This window comes from Homo sapiens, chromosome 3 (genome assembly GCF_000001405.40).
Source record: "Homo sapiens chromosome 3, GRCh38.p14 Primary Assembly".
Taxonomy (NCBI): Eukaryota; Metazoa; Chordata; class Mammalia; order Primates; family Hominidae; genus Homo; species Homo sapiens.
In genome coordinates, this window is record NC_000003.12 from 59,423,220 (window position 1) to 59,435,684 (window position 12,465).

Here is a 12,465-nt window from a genome sequence, read left to right on the forward strand (position 1 = left end):
AGACGGGGTTTCACCGCGTTAACCAGGATGGTCTCGATCTCCTGACCTCATGATCCGCCCGTCTCGGCCTCCCAAAGTGCTGGGATTACAGGCGTGAGCCACCGTGCCCGGCCCACACGTGCCTGCTTCTAGGGTTGCAAGCTTGACCTACTAACAGCTGACCCACAGACCAGCCAGGCTGGGATTTTGGTGACCTAATTAAAATATTAGCTTGGCCAATTACTTTCTCTTGGGGATTTTACCTAAGTGCAAAAAGGCCCCGCTAATTTTCAGTGACAGCTGAAGCAGAAAGGATAGATTATTAAACTGAGATTTTTAGCCTGGGGTCCACAAACCCATTTCAAATCTTTGTGAGATTTGGGGTTTGTATGTATAAATGGTATGAGCAGATTCACAAATTTGAGGTGCAAGTCGGGTCACACAGCTTATTCACTGATTACTTGCTCCACTCCTTAGCACAAGTTTCACTATCACCCTTTCAGGACCCCCTTACCCATGAGTAATCCAAGAACTCTGAGGTTCCGCGGTGCTAAGGGGCTCCCTCCAGTTCCCATACTCAAGCCAAGAAAACTGGAAACCGATCAATCCACCGCTACTGACGCTCCCTGGTGCCATGCTGCGTCTAGGTCAAAGCCTGGTCTCCTCAGTCAACAGCAGATGTCATCGCTGTCCTGATGGAATGAGGCCTGTGTGGTTCCTGGACGGAGAACTGAAATAGTGTCTTAGAGCTGGCACAAGATCTCAGTGCTCCAGGGCACCACAGGGGCTGGGTCGGTGCTCGTCCTGGTGTCTGGTGTAATGTGGACCTGGAGTCCCGTCCTTTTATCTTCCAGGGGACAGGATCTCAAAATGCAAAGCATGCTATCTTCCTTCTCCTTGTCCCCATCGCAGGAATACCTGTGCTTCACATACCCTTTTGAGTAAAACCCAAAGTGGTAACAGGGTTTTCTCTCTCCCCCGCTTTCTTTTTTTACGTGAGTCAAAGCTTTGTGAATTCAAGGTGGATTTCTGAAGCTTCACTCACCAACGCAGGGAGAAAAAAATGTTAAATCAACAACAAAGCTTGATCTTTAGATAAGCATTTCACTACCTATGCATTTATCTGAGAAGTGGGTCCCTCGTTCTGATGGGATTTCCAGGGGCATTCATGGTTCAGCAATAGATGATTAAGAGAGAGAAAGAATCAAGAACCGCTACTGTAGAGAGAGGGCCCAAGGGCATCCCCGAGGCTGTAAGGGACAGTGTCAGGAGGTGCCTGAGAGTGAATGAGGGGAGCAAGCCAGCATGCTGGACAGAGAGGAGAAAATGCCTGGCCTGTAACTGAGTTGCATGAAGGGGGTACTTGAGAGAGTGCCACGCAATGTGGCTGCGTCTCACAGACACGTCGTGGAGAGAATAAGGAATAAGAACTATAACATTCCATTTATACAAAGCTTGAAAACAAGCAAAATTAACCTACAATAACATAGGTGAAAAGAGTTATCTGGGAGGGTACCAGCTGGGTAGAGAAGGCAGTGCTGGGCAGGCTGTCTATCAGGGAGAGGGTTACTGTTTCTTAAAGGGCTAGCTGCTGATGATTTTAGGCTTGGAAACTGCCAGGTCTCTGGGGCAACTACTCACACAGTCATAGACAAGACATAAACAATAGGCGTGGTGGTGTTCTGATGAAACCACAAAACCAGTAGCAGACCAGATTTAGCCTGTAGGCCTGAGTTTGCTGACTCCTGATCTATATATCTATTAATATCTTGGTGTGGGGTGGTCGTTACGTTTTGTATTCATATATAAAAATTCACTGAACTTGTGAATTTCATGATTTAGATACTTTATTGTATGTAAATTATATCTCAGTTTTAAAAAATCTATTAAGAGATTAAGTTTAAAACAAAACAACAAAAATCTTTGTGGATTCCATGTAGGTATTTCCTAGAATGAACCAGGTTCTGCAATCCAGAACTCATCAGAGCCTCTGCTCTTGGGTTTTATGAGGTTGTCAGTGTATCCTCACACCACTCTGTCTTTACTTGAGCCAGCTGGAGTGGGCTTTGTGGCAGAGAAGCCCTCCCAGAGCTCCTTACCACCATTCTGTAGGGCAGCTTTTACCACCCGCCATGAACGATGGACCAGGCTCCTGGGGTTAAATAACCTGCCCAGGATCACATAGCTCACACAGAGAATACACAGCTCCCACAGCTCAGTCCTTCCATATAACTTTAAAACTCTCTGGACACAAGTCCATCTTCCCCTGGGCAGTTACAGAGAAGCTGCATTTTCTAGGATTCGATTCAGCCTCACGTCGGAGTTACCTCATTGCTGCCTAGCCTTTGCATTCTCATGTTCCAGCTCATCGGTGATTGTTTGTTCTTGGTGCTGAACTTGACAGGAGATGAAGAAAAACACACAGCCAAGGTCAGAGAGCAGCAAACTCTCTCCTCCATTCAGTCTGTTTTCATGTTTAAACTGCACCGATTAAAGAAAATCATCTGGACGTTTTGTCCAAGCACTTGGCCGGGCTGGTGAGGGTCATCCCTGAGCTCCGTCCTCCCATGTCTGTAAGCCTTTGCTTACCCACATCCAATCTCACTGATCCCAGGATGAAGACAGAAGAGAGAAAAGGGATTCTGACATTAGCCATCACCATTAGGGTTTTTCAACATCTGACCATTAGGCAAGGTGAAAAAGAAGAAAAGCTGTTTTTCTGGGCACTTTGGGCCTGAAGAACTTCAGCTACTTAAATCAGAAGCAGAGGCTTTGTTGTTTTGGTTTTGTCTCTGTCATTTAGAGGGCTCAACCTGTGTCATGAAATGCAGCACTCTTACCTTTGTATTTTGCAGTTAAGTTGTGAGAAAAGCCCTCAAGTGGCCGAGAAGGTTGCTTGAAAGACGCACGCACCTGGGTGTCTCCAGTCATACTCACACAGGAAGGAGTGAGCAATGAGGGTTAAAACCATCCCCAGACGGGACCACCCCCATGTCTCTTTGCCTCCCCATCCCCTGTGTTGGTTTCCCATGGCTGCTGAAACACATTATCTGAGACTTCGTGGCTTAAAACTGCAGACATTTATTATCTTATAGTCTTGGAGTCTGATGTGAGTGAGTCTCACTGTGCTAAAATCAAGGTGTTGGCAGGGCTACCTTCCTTTCTGGAGGCCATTTCTTACCTTTTCTGGCTTCTAGCAGCTGCCTGCCTTTTCCTGGGCTTACAGCCCCTTTCTCCATCTTTGAAGACAGCAATGTTGGATCTCTGCATGCCTTTCTTCCGCAGTCACATCTCCCTTGGACCGACACTCCTTTCTCTTCCATTTTTAAGGACTCTTGTGATTACGTCGGGCCCATACGCATAATCCAGGATAATAAAGCCAACCAATTAACTTCAATTCCATCTCCAAGCTGATTCCCTGTGCCATGTAGCCTAATGTATTCACAGGTCCAGGGATTAGGACATGGACATATTGTTTGCCTCCTGTCCCTCATGCCCCGACTCACCAGGGCTGGTACCCAGCCTATCCAAGACACACTCATTTTCCCTGAACATATATGTGCCAAACATAAACAACAACAAAAAGTTGCGTGGACTCCAGATAGGTAGTTCCTAGAATGAACCAGGTTCTGCAATCCGGAACCCAACAGAGCCTCTGCTGCTGGGTTTCATGAGGTTCTCAGTGTATTCTCACATCACCCTCTGTTTACTTAAGCCAGCTTGAGTGGGCTTTGCTGCAGAGATGGCATGTATGATGAGTTTCCTGCCTATTTCAGAATCAGGATTGACTAAAATGTTTACTTACTTTCATTCAGCGAACCAAACAACACCAGAGTTTAAGGAGCTCAGGTTGCCACATTGCCCTTATTGCAGGGAGACGGCGTCTTTTGCCTGTAGTCATTCTCACAGTTCCTGCTTGTGTCTCACCCAGAACCCTGCCTTTACTGACCACAAATTGTCCCCAAATGCATTCGAGAAATTTCTCCAATCCTATATCTAAATTTATGGTTCACTAAAGGGGAATGTGCACATCGCATATGAAATATTTGAAATGCTTATTAATTAACATATCACAGCCTGTGCAAATAACACATTACATTCCTTGCTATTTCTTCAATGACATTTGGAGTATTGGTGGACAGAGCTACAAATATTTTTGTCTGGTCTCGCGGAGACATTCTATCATGGTTTAAGTACGATGGATGATTTACACAATAAAACCACAAAACCAGTAAGGAAATGAATAGGCTGACACACATGTGGGCACTCGTAGCATATTGAGAAATTTAGCAAAGTGATTCATGGTTAAGAGTTTGAAATCAAACTGCCTGGGTTCAAATTGTAGCTCTTCCACCTACTAGCTGTGTGCCTTAAGCAAGTTTGCTTACCTTTCTGTGCTTCATATTTCTCCTCTGCAGAATGAAGATAACAATACCACCTAAGTCATGGGCTTCTTATAAAAGTGAAATTAACTAATACATGTAAAGTGCTTAGAACCATGTGTGACACATAGTAATTACTCAAGGAATGTCAATTCTTGTTGGTGTTATCATTAACATCATTACTATGTGGTAGACACAGGAGGCTCACTTGGTTCAGGTCCCCTGTCCTCCTGGAGCCTACAGGAGGAAAAAGACAGATAAGTAGGTAGGGAGGAAGTAGCCAAGGGAGGAAAGAACAAGTGCACAGAAATTGAAATGGGGATCAGGGAAGGTTTCTTAGAAGAGGCAGAATTTAAGCTGAGGCTGACGGGATACAAAGAACTTAGCCAGTGTAGCTAGAGCCAGAGGTGGAGGTGGGAGTGTTGTAGGAGTTGGGCACAAGGTCTGGAGGCCTCAGTAGGATGCTACCTGTGAGTTCCTACTGTGAGTACCAGTGTTGGGTGTTGTCAGGGCCTCCTGGGCCCACGGGAGCTCCTGTGGGGGCAGTTGCCACCTATTTCTCCCTTCCTCATCGGGTCTTCCCTGTATTCTTTGTCCACCTTTTTTTCTTTCCCTTCTTTGTTCCTAAAGCCTTGGCCCTGACAGCAATCTCAGGGGGGACAGGTTAATGGCCTCTAGTCTAGATACAGTCCCTTGGGGGTAGGAGGTGTGCACGGGCTAGATTGTCATCCTTCTGGTCTGGGGACTCTATGATCCCAGATCTTAAACACCAGACTCATCTTTCTCTGCGATATCGTTTCCAGTAGAGCAGTTCTGAACCATCAGTCACATGGAGGCTGTGCTGGTCTCTCTCCCATGCATCCAGCATCCTGGCACCACTTGTCCCAGAACATGAATAAAAACTAACTTATGTGAGTCCTGAAACTCTGGCCTCAGCTTGCAAGAAGAGGGTGTGTTAGAGAATTTTAGGAGCATTATAGACAGCACTAGCCTTTCTCTGGTCATCCTGACAAAGACCTCAACTCTCCTGCTTTTTTGTTTCTGCTCTAGGTTTGATCTGGCTTTGGCCATTCACTTGGGTAGGGGCTGTCTGGAGTGCTGGAAGCACATGGGCTAGAATCTTGTCCGTTGTATAAGTTGAACAAATCTTAGCAGGCTTAGTGTCAACTCTCAGAGCACTCCTTTTTCTCATTTGGAAAACGGGAAAATAATACTGCCTTCACACAATGGGATGAATCCAAAGCCCCGTGGCCAGCGCCCAGCATAGTCAGTGGTGGTGGTCTGCATCTCGTCATGTCCTCCAGGCTCTGTACATCTCATCTGCCCTCCCTTCTCACCCTCTCTTCTCTTACCCACTAGCAGAGCCCTTGCAGCTAAGCTGAGCTACACTTTTCCTGCTTTCTGATTAGGTGGCAGCTGTCTGATCTTTAACTGGAACAATCTTGCTTATAGAATCTTTGTAAATTAGAAAACAACCAAGCAGTGCATAGCAGAACATTGAGCCACAGGACCTTGAGCCAAAGATCTCTGTGTCTTCGGTCGAGCAATATGACTGTTCGGTCTCTAAATTTGTGATAGGACCTAAGAGGACTTTTGTGAAGACTAAAGTGAGCTGGTATGAAAGCTTCATGTACAGTGTATTGTTATTTTATCATTACACATGTTATATATCATTACATACAATGATAATGTATTTTATCATTAATAACTACTGGCTGGTTTCTAGATGTTGCAGAGGAAGATGATTAAGTGTCCTCACTGCTGCTTCACTCCCAGGAGCACAGCTGTGATCGTGAAACAACTCTGTCATCAATCGGCATCCTCAGATCTGTGCTGTCCATGGTGGTAGCCACCAGCCATATGTGGCTGTAAAATTTAATTATATTAAAATTCTGCTTCCTCAGTCATACCAGCCACTACATGGCCCATAGGTACAAATGGCTAGTGGGTACTCTATTGCTCAGTACAAATATGGAACACTTCCATTATCACAGAGCATTCTATTGGACAGCTTTGGACCAAAGTATAAGTCCCCTCCCCTCATCTCTTTGAAGAGTTCCAGGAATGCCTGCAGTAAATTTTGGGGATGCTACAGAGCCCACAAAGTATATATTTTAGGTTAGATCATCCCAAATACATCCTTCAAATTTACTATAAATAAAAAGATAAACATCGTTGCTTTGAAAACTGTTGTTAGAATGATGAAGGCAGGGGCCGGGGGCAGTGGCTCATGCCTGTAATCCCAACACTTTGGGAGGCTGAGTCGGGCAGATCACCTGAGGTCAGGAGTTTGAGACCAGCCTGGCCAACATGGCAAAACCCCGTTTCTACTAAAAATACAAAAATTAGCTAGACATGGTGCATGCCTGTAATCCCAGCTACTCAGGAGGCTGAGACATGAGAATTGCTTGAACCGGTGAGGCAGAAGTTGCAGTGAGCTGAGATTACACCACTGCCCTCTAGCCTGGATGACTGAGCGAGGCTCTATCTTAAAAAAACAATTATAGGTGTACGTGTATATATATAATAAAAATAAAAAATAAATTTAGAAAAGAATGACAGAGGCTATTGACCTAAAGGAATGCTCATTACTTCTTACATATATGCCCTTTTTGAGACACCAGCAGGAATTTGGCACAGGGAGATAGTGTTATAGAAAATTATTCAATTTAAAGCAGAGATCATCTGGAAACCAGAACATGACATTTTTGGCTGAAAGGGTGGGGAGTCTTGGGGGTGGAAGGGGGTGGGAATGGAGTCAACCAGCAACCCAGAAGCGCGCTTGGGGAAGACGGTAATTGGCCAGCTCTTACAGAAGTTATCAAAGAGAACATGAGATTTGCTGTAGCCTCTCTGCATAAGTCTAGGACCCCAAGAGGAGTTGGAGAATTACTGTGTGTCACCACGGGGTGTCCTTCAGGAGGAAAGGGCAGGCCTCAAGTCAGATGCCAGATGCTATAACCATCATTATCTGCAGAGGAAAATTGGGTCTGAAATGTCCCCCTGGGGAGCATGCTCCCTCCTCGTCTTCTGGCTAGACGTTCCTCCTGCAGGGAGGCGAGGCTGAGGACTGGGACAAAAATATTGCAGTTCAGTGCTGTTTCCCACTAGAAAGGTCATGGGTGCAAAACAATGAGTCCAATTTAAGTTTGCTGGTCTTTAAGTATATATATTGTTATTATCATTATTATTGTATTGCCATAGATTGTACTGGTAGTATAGATTGCTTAAAAGAAAATGAACTTTGATAATCTTCTGTAATGACAATAATACCTACCTAATACTACTAATAATAATTAATTATAAGGGTTAATTGAGGGATGTATAATAAGCTCAGGCACTGAGTATGGCATGAACTGAACACATATAAAAATGTTAGCTTGAATAATAAACACTATGCATATTTATTAGAAGTAAATATTAATGTCTTTTAGCAATCTTCATAATTAATTTTAATGTTTTGTTAATAAATTACCAATAATTCAATTTTCTAATAAAATATTCATATTAATAATAAAACAATAATGTGATTAAATACGAGTTAAATATTAGTAGTATTTTGTTATTCCATAAATGTCTATGAGGTGTTACTTGCTGTCAGACTGTGTTCTAAGCCCTGGGGTAACAGGTGCATGAGACAACGCCCTGATCTCAGGAAGCTTATGCTTGAGCAAGGGGAAACTGCCTAGTAAAAGAATTACAGATAGTGATACATGCTAATGAGAGTAACTAAGGGGGTGGGGGGGTGCCACAGGCTATTTCCTTAGTGGAAGCAGGGAAGGCTTCTCTGAGGAGGGGACATTTACATGGCCCTCTATGATGAGAAGGAGCCATGAGATGTTGTGAGGTGATTTCAATGCTTTGGACGATAAGCATCAGAAAACTCTAGATTCAAATAATTTAAATGATAATAACATTTACTGTTTCACATTACAAGAAGTCCCAAGGTAGGAAGGTTCTAGGGTTGTCTAACTCGGGTCCCATCCACAGCACGAGGACGCAGTTTCTTCCATCTTTCTGCCTGCCCGTCTGCAGGGCACCCTGCAGCCTGTAGCCGGGCCTCAGCCTGGCTTCCCTCATGGCTGTCAATAGTTGCCAACATCCCATCTGAAACAACATCCAGAGGAAGAAGGGAGAATTTCCAGAAGTGTCCAGCACATTGACTCTCGCATCTCACTGGTCAGAACCGGGCCAAACACCCACCTTTAAAATCACAAGCAAGAGAATAGAATCACCATGATTGGCAAGCTTTTTCTGTAGATTGTTAAATAGGAAATATTTTAGACTTCACAGGTCAAGAGGCAAGATTGAAGGTATTATGTAGGTACTTAAATAATAAGAGAGAAAATAGATTTCCACAAAGTTTTTATTGATGAAATTCAAAATAGAATAGTTGAATATAATTTTTTTAAATGCGGGCCTATTAAGAAGAAGAATGAGTTTCTTTTGGAGGGAATAGCATTTTTTTAATCAGGAAAATAAAATTTTGCCTAATTGGAGGTAAAAGTGTTCTAACATTTTATCTTTTTTTTTTTTTTTTTTTTTTGAGACAAAGTCTTACTCCGTCGCACATGCTGGAGTCCAGTGGCATGATCTTGGCTCACTGCAACGTCTGCCTCCTGGGTTCAAGTGATTCTTATGCCTCAGCCGCCTGAGTAGCTGGGATTACAGGTGCATGCCACCACACCTGGCTAATTTTTGTATTTTTAGTAGAGATGGTCTCTCACCATGTTGGCAAGGCTGGTCTTGAACTCCTGTCTTGAACTCCTGACTTTAGATGATCTGCCCCTCTCAGCCTCCCAAAGTACTGGGATTACTGACAAGAGCCACTGTGTCCAGCCCTAACTTTTTATCTAACTGGGGGGTCAAAGTTATTTTCCTATCATTAAAAATAGATTGCAACTGTTCATATATTAATGCTGATCTATGATGAGATTTTACGTTTCATTTTTGAAAATGTATTTACACAGAAAGATACATGTGGCACCACTACTCATTTCTACTGTTGCAGTGTGAAAGCAGCCAGAGGCAAAAAGTAAATAAATAGGCATAATTGTCTTCCAATAAAGCTTTATTTATGGACACTAAAATTTGCAATTCATATCGTTTTCATGCACAAAATATTATTCTTTTGGATTTTAAAAAATGCATTTAAAAATGTAATATGCCAGGTTTGTCCCTAGGGCCATAGTTTGCAGACTCCTGCTCTAGACTAATCAGGATTTCCCCTGAGTCATGAGAAGAAACTTTGCCTGTAAGGATCAGGCTGGAAAAAGCATGTGAGTAAGCATGCAACAGTGTCTACTTCAAGGGAAAAGAAGTCTCCAGGCTGAGGGAACAGCCAGCGCAAAGATCCCGAGGCAGTGATAAGCCTAGAAAGTATGATCCTTAGCCATGAGCCGGGAGGAGGAGGAGCCGAGAGGCCCGAGATAAGGGTGGGGATCAGGTGCTAACTTCCAGAATGTGGTGTGAGGAGCACCATAGACCCTCTCCCTGGCAAAATAGTAATAACTGGTGAAGATTATTGTAAAGAACAAAAACCAACCACTGAAATCCTCTGAAAATTGTCCTAAGGATACGCAGCAAATAAGGAGGTATTTGAGAAAAATCTATTAAATCCTGGTAAGAACAATAAGAGTCTGTGGCACTTAAGCCAGTACCTACTCTCCCCTTCTTTCCCCCCGATCCCCCTCAGCTCTGTATTGCAGGGACTACCTTCTAGGCAAATATTGCCAAGATGCCCCGGCTCCCTTCCTCCACCCATCCCCCACTCATAGCACAGAGATGCTACTTCAAGTGTGGCAGCCTGAGAATACTGGGGCCTGATTACCTTTCACCCAGCTTGCTTATGGGGAGAAGTTCCATGCCAGGAGAGAAGTTTCATGCCCAAAAGACCAGACGCCACCACCCCAGTCCAATGCCCTTCTCATAAAGCCGACGTGCTGCTCCGGAAGAAGTGGACCACTGTCTCTGCCCCCAGCTCTGGGCAAAGGACTCAGAAAGTTTGCCCAAGAGGAGAGGCAGGTCATAAGGAAAGAGCTCAGGAGTTCTCTGCAGATGAACTAACTTTATTTGAAAAAGAATGTGTGGGTGTTAAAGCTAAGAATGTTATATTTCCTAGGGTTACAATAACAAATTACCACAACTTTGGCTTAAAGGAGCATAGGTTTATTCTCACTGGCTTCTTGATATGGTTTGGCTCCGCGTTCACACCCAAATCTCATCTTGAATTGCAGTTCCCTAATCCCCATGTGTCATGGGAAGGACCCGGTAGGAGGTAATTGAATCATGGGGGCAGTTACCTCCATGCTGTTCTCATGATAGTGAGTGAGTTCTCATGAGATCCGAGGGTTTTATAAGGGGCTTTTCCCCCTTTTACTCAGCACTTCTCCTTCCTGCCATGATGTGAAGAAGGACATGTTTGCTTCCCTTTCAGCCACAATTGTAAGTTTCCTGAGCCCTCCCCAGCTATATACAACTGTGAGTCAATTGAACCTCTTTCCTTTATAAATTACCTAGTCTCAGGCAGTCCTTTATAGCAGCATGAGAAGGGACGAATACACTTCTGGAGGCCAGAGGTCTGAAATCAAGGTGTCAGCAGGGTGTGCTCCTTGGAGGCTCTGAGGGAGAATCTGTTCCTGGCCACTTCTAGCTTCCAGTGGCTGCTCAGAATTTCTTGGCATTGCTTGGCTTGTGGCCCTGTCACTCCAGTCTCTGCCCCAATTTTCATATGTTCTCTGTGTGTCTGTGGCTAATCACTCTCTGCCTGTCTTTCTTTGTGGTGTGAATCTCTTCTACTTTATCCTACTTAGAGTTCCTTGAGTATCTTGTATGAATAAATTCATGTTTTTCATCAATCTGGAGAATTTTTCAGCCATTATTCTTCAAACATTCTTTCTTCCCCTTTATCTGTTCCCCTCTGAGACTTCCAATATGCATCTGTATAGATAAATCAGACTTCATAAAAATTAAAAATATTTATGCTCAAAGGATATTATTATATCAAGAAACTAAAAAGACAGCCCACAGAATGGAAGAGACATTTTTAAATCATATATCTGGTAAAGAATGTGTATCTAGAATATATAAAGAACTTTTACTACTTAATGATAACAAGATAAATAATTCAATTTAAATATGGGCAAAAGATCTGATTAGATGTTTATCCAAGGAAGATGATTTACAAATGGCCAATTAGAACATTAAAAAATGCTCAATATCATTAGGTATTGGAAATAGAAATCAAAGCCATGGCATTTCACACCAAATAGGATGGTTATAACCAAAAAGCAAAATGAAGGTGAGAACGTGAAGAAATCGTAACCCTCCTACACTGTTGATGGGAGTATAAAATGGTGCAGCCACTTTGGAAAAACAGCCTGAATGTTCTTCAAAAAGTTAAACATAGAGTTACCATATGACCCAGCAATTTCCCTTCTAGGTTTACACTACAGAGAAATGAAAACATGTCCACACAAAAACTTGTTCACAAACGTTTCTAGCAGCATTGTTAATAATTGCCAACAGGGGGAAACAACCCAAATGTCCATCAGCTTGTGTATGGAGAGACAAAACATGGTGTATCCATACCATGGAATATTATGAAGTATTGATATGTATTAAAACATGGCTGAAACTTGAAAACATGACACTAACTGAAAGAAGCCAGTCACAAAAAACTAATGTATAATTCAATTTATATGAAATGTCTGCAATAGGCAAGTCTATAGAGACAGAAAGTAGATTAGTCAAGGGCTGTGAGATTTGAGGAAATGAGGAGTGCATGCCGATAGGTGCAGGGTTTCTTTTAGGGTGACAGAAATGTATTAAAATTAATTGTGATGGTGATTCCATAACTCTGCGTACATACTAAAACCAATTGAATTGAATGCTTTAAATGGGTAAATTGGATAACATGTGAATTGTATCTCAATAAGGCTGTTGTTATTAAAAAAAAACAAAAAACTGGGCATGGTGGCTCACGCCTGTAATCCCAGCACTTTGGGAGGCCAAAGCAGGAGGATCACCTGAGGTCGGGAGTTTGAGACCAGCCTGGCCAACGTAATGAAACCCTGTCTCTACTAAAAATACAAAATTAGCCGGG

The 12,465-nt window shown here is 43.2% G+C and overlaps 1 long non-coding RNA gene across 1 annotated transcript in view, besides 1 other annotated feature; it reads left to right on the forward strand.

Moving 5' to 3' along the window:
• CFAP20DC-DT (CFAP20DC divergent transcript) overlaps window positions 1-12,465 on the forward strand; it is a 724,471-nt gene that overhangs the window by 336,380 nt on the left and 375,626 nt on the right. The window lies entirely within an intron of this gene.
• Window positions 1,565-1,684: a silencer, noted in NCBI's record as "silent region_14493". NCBI's record gives its function as "represses an Ori minimal core promoter by ATAC-STARR-seq in GM12878 lymphoblastoid cells {active_cell/tissue: GM12878}" and the evidence as "EXISTENCE:reporter gene assay evidence [ECO:0000049][PMID:35858748]".